General features: G+C 39.7%; 1 protein-coding gene and 1 long non-coding RNA gene across 17 annotated transcripts in view; one reads left to right on the top strand and one right to left on the bottom strand.

The window, feature by feature from the left end:
• CACNB2 (calcium voltage-gated channel auxiliary subunit beta 2) overlaps positions 1–14609 on the bottom strand; it is a 403134-nt gene that overhangs the window by 16333 nt on the left and 372192 nt on the right. For 6 of the 15 annotated variants that reach the window (NM_201571.4, NM_201596.3, NM_000724.4 and 3 more), the window contains 3 exons: positions 12856–12989; positions 8809–8889; positions 8257–8315 (listed from right to left, as the gene is read on the bottom strand). In NM_201571.4, the coding sequence (NP_963865.2) occupies positions 8257–8315; positions 8809–8889; positions 12856–12989 (274 nt within the window). Of the gene's footprint in view, positions 1–8256; positions 8316–8808; positions 8890–12183; positions 12246–12694; positions 12715–12855; positions 12990–14609 lie in introns of those variants that run through there. The other 9 variants (NM_001167945.2, NM_201593.3, NM_001330060.2 and 6 more) reach the window with 4 other exon arrangements.
• The window catches only part of CACNB2-AS1 (CACNB2 antisense RNA 1), a 26661-nt gene extending 12052 nt beyond the window's left edge, over positions 1–14609 (top strand). The window contains exons 2-3 of one of the 2 annotated variants that reach the window (XR_007062076.1): positions 8395–12823; positions 13565–14609. This is a non-coding gene — a long non-coding RNA (CACNB2 antisense RNA 1). Of the gene's footprint in view, positions 1–39; positions 12824–13564 lie in introns of those variants that run through there. The other variant, XR_007062075.1, reaches the window with a different exon arrangement.

The following is a 14609-nucleotide window of genomic DNA, read 5'->3' as shown; positions in this document are numbered from 1 at the left end:
TTTGTATTTTCAGTACAGAGGGGGTTTCACTATGGAAGCTGGTCTTGAATTCCTGGCCTCAAGTGATCCGCCTCCCTCGGCCTTCCAAAGTGCTGGGATTATAGGTGTGAGCCACCGCGCCCGGCCCTATCCTGCACCTGCCTTACGTTGCACTTACTTGTTGCTTACAAGTGTCAGATAAGTACTGAGCACTTTATTTGAATTACTAAATGATCCAAAAAGCTCTAGGAGAAACGTTTACTATTATCCCACTGTTGCTGATGAAAAATGAGACTCACAGAGAGATTTTTTATCCAAGGGTATGTATGTAACTAAGTGGGAGAGCTGGGATTTGAACCCAGACTCCTGACCCTATATTCCTAGTCTCTGTGCCATAGTTCATTGCTGTGATAGGCATGAAAAATAAATAAGAACCAGTCTTCCCTCAGATAGCTAATGGTCTAGTGGCAGAGATAAATAATAAAGGAAAATAATTAAAGATGATGATTGTTGTGGAAAGAACATACAGGGTATTATGAGAGACAATATTGAATTGGGAGTATCATTTTAGATAAGGTAGAAATGAGAGCAACAAAATTTGGGAACTGGAAATAGCAAATGACTTAGACTGCAGAAAGCTGAATATTCAAGTCAGCAGTAGGAAAAAGCTGTGAAGCAAAATTGAAGGCTCACAATATTTCTAAAGAAGGTAGAGAATGAAGTTAGGGCGAAAAGGAAAAGTTTGGTTCAAAAGTCTGTTTCAGTTACAGCCCTCCACTGCCCCCTCACAATATCAAATAGCCAGGTGACAGTTCTTTTCCTGTGTGGTACAAGACCCTACATTTGTTATCTTGCAGGCAATACAAGAGGGCCTCTGACCAGGGGACCCTAGACAGAACAGGAGCAGGGAATACTGGATGGAAAAGAAAGGATTCTGAATGTTGAGTCTTCAGCCTTTCTTCTCATTGTACAGTTTTGGTAGCCAGGCTTATATTTATATCCCCAGGGGTCAGAATGGAAGATTCTTCTCTGGGGAATCTGACTGCCAAATTGTAAGGACCCAAAGATAATGATATTGGAGGTTTCCTGTGTAAATTATCTAGCAAGATTGCCATACACAGAAACACAAAGTTGACAAGCTCCGCCTATGAGCACAGAACCTCTGATTAATTATTTTATGCCTTATTTTAAAATTTGAGCACAGGACAGTTTGTCAGGCATCTTCAGAAAACCTCATGAGAGAGCAAAACAAACAGAAAAATCAATTATGACAATTATTCACAGTTAAAAGCTAAAAGATGGTTTTATCTATGAGACTAGAACAAATTTCTATTTAAAGACTTAGAATAAGAGCTTTTGGAAGTAACATGATAATAGAAATAGAAAAAAAGCAAAAGAAAGGTTAAAAGAAATGTAACATTTCCAAAGGGTAAAACAAAAAAGAGTTGGAAGATAGGAGAAGAAAAGTAAGAAAAGTAGACATAACCCAAGAGGTTCAAATTCCAAATTACAGGAGTTCAGAAAAAGATAATAAAGAAGACAGAGGAAAGAAAATAAAGAATTAATTCCAGAATTAAGGATCTGATTTTCTGAATTGAAAGGGTCCGGCACACGGGTTGAAATACCCACACCAAGACATATTTTTATGAATTTCATAACACTGGGGACAAAGAGAAACCCATAAGCTTTCAGAGGAAAAAGACAGGTCCCAAAGGGTCTAGAATCAAAGCACTAGAATGCTTTGTACTTCTCAAAGCAACAATGGAAGCCACAAGGTAATGAAGCAAAAAGCCTTCAAAATTTGGAGGGAAAACTATTTCAATCAGAATTCCATAAGCATTTAAACTAGCAATTAAACAGAAAGGTTTGTAAACATTCAGGCTATTGAAAAAAACATGTATATACCCTTCCTAGGGAAATGAGAAGGTTTTTGACTAAAATGACAGTAAAGCTTGAAAGAAATCAAGGGATCTGGGAAACAGGAGCTTCAACCCAAAACAAAGGTGAAAGGAATCCCCAAGCATATAACACGGAATGTTCCAGAATGACACCCAGCACAGAAAGAAAGATCTACACTGCAACAGGCTAGAATGTCCCAGAGGGATTCAAATAGACAAATTAATTTTGGCTGGCTCCATATTTAATATTTATTGAAACTATGTAAATAATAGTCAATGAACTATGTCATATAATGTGTTTTTTTTTTTTTTTTTTTTAGACAGCATCTCACTGTCACCCAGGCTGGAGTGCAAGGGTGTAGTAATCATAGCTCACTGCAGCCTCAACCTCCCAGGCTCAAGTGATCCCCCTGGCTCAGCCTCCCAAGTAGCTGGGACTACAGGTGCATGCCACCACACCTAGCTAATTTTTTTTTTTTTTTTTTAGTAGAAACAGGGCCTCATTATGTTGCCCAGGCTGGTCTGAAACTTCTGAGCTCAAGCAGTCCTCCTCCCTTAGCCTCCTAAAGTGCTGGGATTACAGGTGTGAACTGCTGCACCCAGCCTACTATACTTTTTCTTGTGTATTTTCCTCGTGGTTTCCATGAGATAAACAACTTTTTATTTGCTCAATTTTTTTTTTTTTTTTTTTTTAAGATAGAGTCTTGCTCTGTCACCCAGGCTAGAATGCAATGGTGTGATCTTGGCTTACTGCAATCTCCGCCTCCTGGGTTCAGGCGCTTCTCCTGCCTCAGCCTCCTGAGTAGCTGGGATTACAGGTGCCCACCATTGTGCCCAGCTAATTTTTGTACTTTTAGTAGAAACAGGTATCACCATGTTGGCCAGGCTGGTCTCAAACTCCTGGCCTCAAGTGATCTGCCTGCCTCAGCCTCCCAAAGTGCTGGGATTACAGGTGACAGCCACTGTGCTCAGCCTCAGGATTACTGATTTCTAGTAAGACTGTCCTACAGAAGATTCTGGCAATGGTATATTTATCCCTGTAGCAATTCAGTATGCATTCCAAACACTTCAGGGCTGATTGCTGACGTTTTGAAAGTCACTGAAGGAAACAAAACAAAACAAAAAAACAAAAAAAAAAAACCGTGAATTTATCCCAGGTAGCTTTCCTTCTTGTTCTCAACTTCCTTGTTAATTTACCTGTCACCATCCTACAAGGTGAATCTGAAGATTGCTTTGTTTACATGACACAGTTGGTTACTGTGAATCCAGTTTTGAATGGGCTACTTTATTGCACACAACAGGAGGAGGAGGAGGATGATTTATTTCTTCTTTGATCTGACACACTGACACTACTTAACCAGAATGTGATTCTGACAACCCCCTAGGGCTGCTGCAAATGAATTTAAGTGGGTTTCAGAAAAGAAAAAGGAATTCTTGACTACCTAGAACCTTTCGCATAACTAACATTTCCTTTCATATTTTCTCCTCTTGGGCTTAAACGTTTTTAAAAAATAAACTTAGCTTATTTAATAGATGATTAAGGAATAATTCATTTTTCCCTTTTAGAATGTCATATGTATATACACACCTGATACTTTTGTTGAATTTCCATCCTCTATTGCTGTCTTGCCTTGCCAAAAGCAAAGACAGTCAATAATTCAGTTACTCTAGATGTCTTGCCATGGGTAAAAATGTTAAATTTGTACACAGCTTTTAAATTCTGCCTTATGGACTCGTTTCTTCCTCTGAGGACTGTTAACTGGGGAGAACAGGGCTAGAATATAGAACCCCAGCTCTGTAAGTCAAGATGAGCCAAGGCAGGTCTATTAATTAAACCATATGAAAGTTACTTCTGGCTAGAAATAACAGATACTTTAAGATATTTTGTTTATCTGTTTCTTAAATAAAACCAATCTGGGTGGCTGATACACTCGAACATGGGTCCAAAATCCACCCTCTCTGGCTGGAATGTGTCTTCCAAATTCAAAACTTACTCAGGTTTAAGTACAAGTAGTAATCCAGGAAATTCCATCCCATTTCCCCATCTTTGGCATTTAGGAAAGGGCAGTGGGTTGACTCAGGCATGGAAAACACAGTGCCTTTGTTAGCAGAATTTTTTTTAGTGTTCAGGCTCATGTTGACAATTCCAAATTGTGATAAATGACAGAGCCAAGGATAAAGAAACAAGCTAAATGGAGCAGAGTAGAGCTATGCCTTTTATACTTGGCCAGTGCCTAGTAGCCTTGGTCCAAGCTAAAGGGTCTATTTCCTGTCACAAACTGAAAAATATTTCTTAAAGATATGGAAAATTAAAAAAATCTAATTAGGAATATTTGGTTAGAAGACCTTGATTATAAAGTCTTTTCATACCTTGAAACTTATAATAGTTTTTGTTTTCCTCATTCTCTCTCCTTTCAGTTCTTTGCCTGATCACTTTTTTTTTTTTTTTTTTTTTTTTTTTTTTTTTTTTGAGACAGAGTCTCACTCTGTTTCCCAGGCTGGAGGGCAGTGGCACGATCTCGGCTCACTGCAACGTCTGCCTCCCGGGTTCAAGCAATTCTCCTGCCTCAGCTTTTCGAGTAGCTGGGACTGCAGGCACCCGCCAACATGCCCAGCTAATTTTCTTATCTTTAGTAGAGACGAGGTTTCACCATGTTGGCGAAGCCGGTCTCGAACACTTGACCTCATTATCCACCCGCCTCGGCCTCCCAAAGTGCTGGGATTACAGGCAGGAGCCACCAAGCCCAGCCTGCTTGATCACTTACTAAAAAGACTTGTCCTCCTATAAAACTTTCCTTCCTACCCTTGCCTCCCCTGCCAAAAGTCAATATAAATTAGAAATGGTTGTAGTAGTAGGTGTGGTCTAGAAAGAAAGTACTATAGTAAGAAATCTAAAAGAATCCTGAAACCAACAAATACTATCTATTGCAGCAGTCCCCAACCTTTTTGGCACCAGGGACCAGTTTCATTAAAGACAACTTTTCCGTGGACCGGTTTGGTAGGAGTGGGGAGATGGTTTTGAGATGATTCAGGCACATTACATTTATTGTGTACTTTCTTTCTATTATTATTACACTGGAATATATAATGAAGTGATTATACAACTCACCATAATGTAGAATCAGTGGGATCCCTGAGCTTGTTTTCCTGCAACTAGATGGTCCTTTATGGGGTTGATGGGAGACAGTGAAAGAACACCAGGCATTAGACTGTCCTAAGGAGCATGTAACCTAGATCCCTCGCATGCAGAGTTCACAGTAGAGTTTGTGCTCCTATGAGAATCTAATGCCGCTGCTGATCTGACAAGAGGCTGAGCTCAGGCAATAATGTGTGAGTGATGAGGAGTGACTGTAAATACAGATGAAGCTTTGCACACTCCCCTGCCACTCACCGTCTGCTGTGTGGCCCCTAGCAGGCCATGGACCAGTACTGATCTGTGACCCGGGGATTTGGGACTCCTGATCTATTGTAGTTGCATTGTTAGGATGGGAGGAGGAAAGGAATGTGGAGAAGAGAAGCACTGCATTTATCTGGTTAAAAATACAGAAATATACACTAGCCCTGTATCTTCCAGGTCCCCTGTAATAACCTACTCTTAAACTCTGAGGTTTCCATTTTGGACTCTAGTCATGTCTTTGATGCTTCAGGAGCTGGCTTAACATTCAATGATGGCACCCATTAATTATTTGATTCAAGACTGCCTTTCAATAGACTTTAAGCCCCACAAAGCCAAGGCCCTTGTCTATTTTTGCTCCTCACAATGCCTGGCACATAGAATATACTCAATAAATACTTACTGAGGCAAGTTGAATAGTGACCGGGGGAAGAGGAGGAGAAAGAAAGGATTAAGTCCAAGCCCATTGGCGTGACACACTAGATATGACCCTTGGATTTGTTACCAGTCACTCCTTGCCCATGTCCTTTAAGATGTGGGTGTGAGTTGCCTTACACATAATGCTGTGTCATACCTCAAAGCCTTCACACACTATATACCATCTGCTGAACATACCCTTCTCTTCCCTGTAATCCATTTGGTCAAACGTTAGGCACCATTTAAAAATTCTTCCAGGTGTGGATGTCCTGAAGTTGGTGTTAATTACGCCTCCCTTTATGCTACCTGCACCTTGTGCATGCATATAACCAAGTTGCCCTTTTACTTATATGCAGTGTTACTGCTACAGGTTTCAATTTATGGTTTCCATGAGAGCTGTTCATAGGCAGAGACTGGCTTCACCATCTCCGCATTTCTCTAGCAGAGAGTATGCAGCAGACGTTCATTCAAAATTCATCTGGCCACTGCTCATGTTGAGTACTGCTCCAGGCACTGAGAATACAACAGTTCACAAAACATTCTCAAACCCTGCCCTCATGGAGTTTATCGTCTAATTATGGGAGAATGACAATAAACAAAAATAGTACTGGAAATACATAAAAGAGCACTAGAAAACAGAGGGAAAGGAGAGACACAGAACAAATGTGTGCATGTGTATGTGTGCATACATGTACACACGTATACCAAGGAGAATATCTGAGGGAAAAGTGTTCCTAGCAGAAGGAACTGCAAAGTGCCAAAGCCCTGAGGTGATTGTGTAATCTGTCTGGAACACTCAAAGAACAGCAAGGGAGTAAGTACGGCAGGGTGAGAATGAGCGAGGGAAGAGCAGCAAGAGAAAATCTAGGTAAGGACGTGTGGAAGAATAGACCATAGGAGGTCATGTAGGCCACTGTAGGACTTTGGTTTCCATTCAGAGGAAAAAAAGAAGTCACTGGATGGTTTTGAGTAAAGGAGTGGTGGGCACTAGCTCACATCTTAACAGGGTCATGCAGCAGCTAACCTGAGCACAGGCTTTAAGGGAACAACCACAGAAGCAAGGAGACAAGGTGGGAGGCTGTTGCACCAATCCAGGGAAGAGATGAAGATGTCTCAGACCAAAATGGTGGCAGAGGATGTGTGAGAAGGGCTTCGATTCTGAATATATTTTGAAGATAAAGACAACAGCATTTGCATGTGAAATATAAGAGAGAAAGAACAGTCAAGGAAAATGATCTGGGCTGAAGGGTCTCGGGACTGAAAGACGAAGAAGCTATTAATTGAGATAGGGAAGACCATGGGAGGAGTAAGTTTTGGGGGAGGTTACATTTGAAAAGTCCATTAGACATCTTAGTAGTGATAATGAATAGGCAATTGTATACATGGGTCTAGAATTTAGAGGAAAGACTGGCAAAGGAATGGAATTTAAAAATCTGATGCTGAATGAAATCACTAAAGAAATGTAGGTAAAAGACATCATAGAGCTTAGCCCTGGGCTGTCCAAGATTTCCAGTTGATGAGGAAGTATCAGCAAAGGAGACAAAGGAGCAGTCAGTGTGATAGAAGGAAAACCAGAAAAGTGTGGTTCCAGAAACCAAGCAAAGTATTTCAAAGAGGATGGAATAATCCACCATGTCAACTACTGCTCATGGTCAAGTAAGATTAGGGCTGAAAATTTATCCCTGGATTTAGCAATGTGAAGGTCATGGGTGATCTTGACATGACTAGTTTAGCTGAGTGGTGTGGGTGAAAACATAACTGGGGTAGGCTGAAGAAAGTGGAAGGAAAGCCAGTACACTCAATTCTTTCAAGGAATCTTCCTGTAAAGAAAAGAAAAAAAAATGAGACACCTAGAGCAATATGAGGTCAATGTGATAGGAATTAACATTTTTACATGGTGATGGAGTTTCCATTAGAACAGGAAATACTCATGAGGAGAGAGCAAAGGATGATTACGGCTCTGTATGGATACTTCTAGCAGAGAGGGGATGGGGAATGAGATCTAGTGCCCACATGGTGGGTTGGCCCTTGCTGGGAACATAGTCATTGGAGATAAAGCAGAGCATGCAGGCAAACATGCAACTCCACAGGCGGGGTTGTAGAAATGCCTGGATGTTCTCTGTTTGCCTCTATTTTCTCAATGACACGGAAGCAAGTTCACTGGGGGAGCGTGAGATGAGAAGGGGTTATCAGAGGATTAAGGAGGGGGAGATGGCACAGAAGTCTTTTAGAAGAGTGGAAAAGTGAATGGAAGAGGGATATTTAGTGCGATGCCTGGGCAGCAATAGAGGGCCAGTTGACCATGAATTGAGGGTGAGACTGGCCAGTGGTGTCCTGCCCAAGGTCAGCTTATGGATGTAGGTACAGGAACTAGACATCAGGGGTTAAAGATGTACCAAGCAAATATGATAAATATTGATTGAATCAGATTAAATTGAGTGAAACTTGTTTCCTGTCATCATATAGACATCAGAGGGCCATTTTCTCTTGGAATCACACGCATGTCCCACCAGCGTTTTGCCATCTTTAAGACAAAATCCACAAAACCCAGTATGCTGAAATACTCACCGCCCTTCAAATCTGTGTTTTAAAAAATCAAACAGCGCTTTTTGCATCATATCTGTGACCTGCAATTGAGCAAGCAATAAATTAAGATATGACCAAAAAAAATTACTAACGATGATAAAACAATTTTACTTCTCTTAGGAATGCTTGAAAACCTGAGCTTTGCATCTGGAAAGAGTGGCAATATGAGGTTGCCGCATTTTTCTGCTTCTGAGTTCTGATGCAATGACAATTAAACTGAACTTATCATGATGTTTTAGTGACAAATAACATTGCAAGTGGTTTCAGTCGGTCTCCATTTGACACTATTTCCTGGACTGAGTACACTGCAGCTAGCAGAAATCTTCAAAGCAACAGCCAGGTAAACAAAACAGAAAAAGGACGAAGCAGTGTATACCAGTTTGCAGAACAACAGGCTTTGCTGCTGTGAGCTCTCTAAGCTCTAAAGTTGGCTCCTTAAGCTGTAAAATTCAGAGAGAGGGTCGGGAGTAGGAGGCAGCATCACAAAGAAGTTCAGCATGCAAGTTAAGCTTCCTGTGGAAGGCTGCTACCCACCTCGTAGCCCTTCAGAGAAGGGCCCACTAGGACCACTGGTCGCATGGAAGGTACCACATCATACGGAGGAGTGTGCTCTGTCTGCAGAGAGAGGAGAGGCTTTTAGACGTTTCACAGGCAGGTAGAACATAAATATTTTGTGTATAAGGTACTCTTTCTGAACTCCATAATATGAGGCACTGGCTTTCCAGACATTTTATTTTCCCCACTTGCCTCTTTTCTACATAAACCCAGTCAAAGATTGGTGGGTTCATTTTCCTGAAGTTTCAAGTTACTGTTGTCTACAGTCTTCTTGCTCATCTCAAGAAATGCTACAGACCTATTCGTTCCTAAAGCAAGAGATGCTGCTTTTGAACAAAAACTAGTTGACAGAACAAAGAGAAACATGCCTCATGCAAGATAGGTGCTTTAGGCTTGACTAGAAGTTAATATTGCTTTTCGGCTGCATTTGAATTTTCTAAAGAGTTGTAGTGATTAGACCTAACATGGTTAATTACAGAGGAAAGAAAGATTGCATTACCTTTGCATCTTAGGTTTTTGTCTTACCTGTGTAAAACCTCATTTCAAAATATTATAACTCTCACTACCAATACTTTTTACCTAATCTCAAAATATTGTAACTCTCACTACTGTCAAAATTCTATATTATTGTGAGAGTTTAAATGAACATGCATGCTTATTTTAGTAAACAGTAATCATGATCCCTGCTCACAGCTTAGTGATTAATGCTATTGAATTTTTTGGTTTCTATACCTTGGTACTTCAAAGGTAAGGTTTATGTGTCTTCGAGGGAAGGTGATTAATGTATAATAATATATTCAACCATGCTATTGTGGTCTCAAAAGGTTCATTATCAATGTGCATATCTAATATGATTCTCAAAAGTAGTTTTCTGTCAGATAACTAATGACATCTTTCTGCAGTAAATTATTTCTTTTTAATAAGAGGGGAGGAGCTAAATTTTGTAGCAATTTCTAAAACTGTCAACACTTTTCAGGTTAATTGCTTCAAATAAAATGGTAAAATAACATCTTTCCAAAAATTAGGTAACAGCAAATTGGTTTATATTAAAATTGGCTCTTTTGATAGCATAAAATGCTAAATTGACCCAAAAATGACTTTTTAAAAAAATGCATAAGAGTGATATGGCCTTAGACACTGCGATAAGCAAATCATTGCTATATGAATCTTTCTGGCTAAGGAGTGTCAAAAAATATAACTTGAGAATCACACACACCAACAGAAAAATGTTCTGTAAATGATTTTAAGAATTCAGTACACTGATGTGCAGATATGAATGTCATTTTTGCATCTGCCCGTCACTCAAGAACATTTTATTGTTGCTTAAAATTGCCCATTACAAACTTTTCTGGCTTCATTTGAATTCACATTGCCTCAGGGGAGAATTAAAAAGCATTTCAAATTCAAAAGCTTCCATCTGAGATTTTACCCGTAGTCACAGACGATATAATCAGAGGGAAGAAAAATATTACCATGACTGTGCTGTCAAATTTCACTGCCTAAAATTTCACCTAGCATTCAGAATTAATTTTAATTGACACAATCAAGGTAGAATACAGTTTTGAACAGAAAAAAAAAAAACAAGACAAACATAATACAGTGACAGCACACGTACCACACAAGCACCACTCTAAAAGCAACCTAAAACATAGAAAACGATCTTCTCATTGAATCTCAGGCTGTTGTTTTGTTTTTGAATTCTACATTGATGTTAACCACATTATCAATAACATAAGAAGAATGAATACCAGTGCCGAAGGCATCATAAGCATATTTCTTAAACTATTTCATTTATACCACCTGGGATCATACTGAAAACGTTTAGAAGCCAAGTCCTGATAACTATGCGGTGTAAGAACACCTTTTCCACCGTTGAAATTATGAATGTAAATTTCCTGCATTTTAGTAACAGCTACCAAGAAATTTTATCTCAAGACTTTAATTCTGAAGTGGCCCAGTGTTTGATAGGTCTTTGGTTCCTTCGATCTGTAACTGCCAACTAGCAAAGGGTCACCCGTTGCTGGTAATCAATCAGCTTCTTAATCAATAGGGTAGCTACAGAAATTACCTTATTTGATGGAATATTGGTGCTTTGTGCCCTATGAAGAATGACGCCATCATTTTTATCTACTCTTCCCTGTTAACCCCATTTAGCTTGATTTTTTTTTTCTTTTTTTTGAGACAGAGTTATCTAGCTCTGTTGCCCAGGCCGGAGTGCAGTGGCATGGTCTCGGCTCACTGCAATCTCCGCCTTCCGGGTTTAAGCAATTCTTCTGCCACAGCCTCCCAAGTAGCTGGGATTACAGGTGCCTGCCACCATGCCAGGCTAATTTTTTGTATTTTTAGCAGAGATGAGGTTTCACCATGTTGGCCAGGCTGGTCTCAAAACTCCTGACCACAGGTGATGCACCTGCCTCAGCCTCCTAAAGGGCTGGGATTACAGGTGTGAGCCATTGCGCCCTGCCTGCTCAAATTATTTAGTGAAAAAATTGTGATAAAAGTTTTTAAAGTTTTAGAATTTAAAGGTAAGCAAACTTCACAAACCTATCTTGACAAACAGGGTTTTAGCTCACATTCCTGCTCCGTCAAGGCCCAAATGTCTTAGCGATGCCGATTTTCTAAGCTTCTGAATGATAGACACTGTTAGTCACTTGGCTGCAAGCTTTAGCTGTAACAAGAAGATCGGACCCCAGAAATGGGCCCACTGTTGTGGGTGAACATCAAGCTGAGGCTATGTTAACACAAAAATCCAAGTGTTGCAATTTTTGCCCAGAGTGCTGAAGTTTTCCCTTATTAAAATAATCATAATTGATTCAAAAAAAGCCAACTTTACAGTTCTGTATCTGACACCTCATTAATGACTTGAGTTCCTCCACAAACCAAAATACATGTTTGCAGAGGAAAAGTGTTCATTATGTGGAGAGTTTGGGGGCAGAGGATAGACAGATTTGACATCACATCTGCGTGTGAGAATATATCCATGGTTTTGCCAGACTTGGCGACATTAGTATGATTCTAAAAGACAGCATGGTAGCTGTGGAAACTGATGGGTAAAAGAGGGGAAAAAAAGGGAAATTTGGGGGGAGGTTAGTGGTCCTTAAAAAATAATGCTTTAAAGCTACAAAATGGGTGAGGAAAAGGCTTTGTCTGAAGTAAGGAGAGCTCAGGAATACCCTATAGTTTCCATTTAGGGGACAAGGAGCCTCGCTGTGTAGCATCTTGGATGGCCAATGGCAAAGGCTCTACGCATGACCACTGGCTGCACTGTCCAAAGGGTGAGATGGTAAAATCTGACTGATGGAGAAGGCAAGAACATCGGGAGAATATTTATATATGACAATAGGAAAAACTCACAGTAAACCGCCAAAACAAGCCTGCAGTTTTCCACTGGTCTTGTTCATCTGCAGATTTTGCACCTAGTGGATTAGAAGTTTAAATACTGACTAAATTAAAACTTGAATACTTTTTTTTTTAGTACAAGCTATGTATCTGGATATCATAAGTCAGAATTTAATAACTGCTTTAATATGTTTGATCATAAGTTAAATTTCTGGATAAAAGAAAGAGATAGAATAAGCATGCACAATTTAGGTGCATTATGTGGAGCTGTCAGTGTTTGACATCCCTGAATGTTGAAACAAATTCCCTTGGTGGTAGATATTATTCCATCAAAAAGGATAAGTACTGTAATGGTGTTTTAACAGGTCACTCCCTGAATTTAGTTGGTTTGAAATGCATGAACTCAATTAGCTGTTGATAGGTTCTTTGCTTGGGACAGAAATGATTGTATTTAATACAACTGTGGGAATTAATGCTAATGATGCCAGTGGCAGGATAAACACAGCTTATGTCAATGTAAACTTACCGATTTCTGCTTCTGCTTAGCTACAGCAGCATGGAAAAGAAACAAATAACAGAGCATGCACGTTATTGGCTTATCAAAGGACGCAGACAGTCAACAGGACTAGAAATGTGACGCAGTGCAGTTGAGCAGGTGGACAATGGGAGCTTGGAAGTTAATGTTACCTTCTTAAAGAAGGGCATTCTTTTCTCTTTGGAGTGGGGTGACGTTACACTGTTTGCACTGGGTTTAGGGGAGCGGTGGTTTGCTGGAATATCATTTTCTTCTGCATCTAAGCCAGTAGCATCTATGTCTATAGCTATATACAGACAATTCAAAAATCAGGTGGACAGGAGAGGAAAAATAGGTTATAAAGAAAATAAAATGAAAGCAAATAAAACTAACCATAGTAAAAAAAACTATCATGAGTGCTCAACACAGTACGCAAGAAAATTAAATTTAAAGGTAAGGCACATTAAGAATGCAAGGTAATCAAATCTAATGAAACTGAAAGATACACTTATAATCTGTTTGCTTGAATGAATCAGTTTCATGCTAGACGTCTTGAATATTTTCAGAGAAACATTTTAAATCTGTAGTTTCAAATATAATGTTGATTTTCTCTGTATCAACTGTATAAAAGTGCAGTACAGAACATTTGACTTCATTACAATATCTTAAACCAGCTTTGAGATAACAAACAACTACTTTGAAAACCTTTATTATAGGTGAATGCAAAAGTAATTGCGGTTTTTGCACTGTTGGAATTTGCCATTTGATATTGGAATACATTCTTAAATAAATGTGGTTATGTTATATATCATTTTAATGCGCATTTCTCGCTTTATGCGTTTTTGCTAATGACTTATTACTTGCTGTTTATGTTTATTTTAGACTATGGAAATGATGTCAGACAAAAAGCGAATTTGAGTGACTTTCTTATTCGAGTTCAAAATGGGTCGTAAAGCAGTGGAGACAACTTGCAATATCAACAATGCATTTGGCCCAGGAACTGCTAATGAACGTACAGTGCGGTGGTGGTTCACGAAGCTTTGCAAAGGAGACGAGGGACTTGAAGATGAGGAGCATAGTGGCTGACCATTGGAAGTTGACAGCGACTACTCAAGAACAATAATCAAAGCTGATTCTCTTACAACTACACGAGAAGTTGCTGAAGAATTCAACATTGACCATTCTATGGTCTTTCTACATTTGAAGCAAATCGGAAAGGTGAAAAAACTCAATAAGTAGGTGCCTCATGAGCCAAGCAAAAATAAATTGTTGTTTGGAAGCATCTTCTCTTATTCTGTGCAACAACAATGAACCATTTCTCAGTCGGATTGTGACGTGGGACGAAAATTGGATTTTATATGACAACCACTGACAACCAGCTCAGCTGTTGGACTGAGAAGCTCCAAAGCCAAACTTGCACCAAAAAAAAAAAAAAAAAAAAGGTTATGGTCACTGTTTGGTGGGCTGCTGCCGGTGTGATCCACTATAGCTTTCTGAATCCCAGCGAAAACATCACATCTGAGAAGTATGCTCAGCAGATCGATGAGATGCAGCGAAAACTGCAACACCTGCAGCCGGCGTCGGTCAACAAAAAGGGCCCAGTTCTTCTCCGTGACAACGCCTGGCTGCACATCACACAACCGGCGCTTCAAAAGTTGAATGAATTGGGCTACGAAGTTTTGCCTCATCCATCATATTCACATGACCTCTTGCCAACCAACTACCATTTCTTCAAGCATCTTGACAACTTTTTGCAGAGAAAATTCTTCCACAACCAGCAGGATGCAGAAAGTGCTTTTCAAGAGTTTGCCGAATCCCAAAGCATGGAGTTTTATGCTACAGGAATAAACACACTTATTTCTCCTTGGCAAAAATGTGTTGATTGTAGTGTTTCCTATTTTGATTAATAAAGATGTATTTAGGCCTA

Source organism: Homo sapiens, chromosome 10 (genome assembly GCF_000001405.40).
Source record: "Homo sapiens chromosome 10, GRCh38.p14 Primary Assembly".
Classification (NCBI taxonomy): Eukaryota; Metazoa; Chordata; class Mammalia; order Primates; family Hominidae; genus Homo; species Homo sapiens.
The sequence above is the reverse complement of the archived record's forward strand: the minus strand, read 5'-3'. Positions and strand labels throughout refer to the sequence as shown.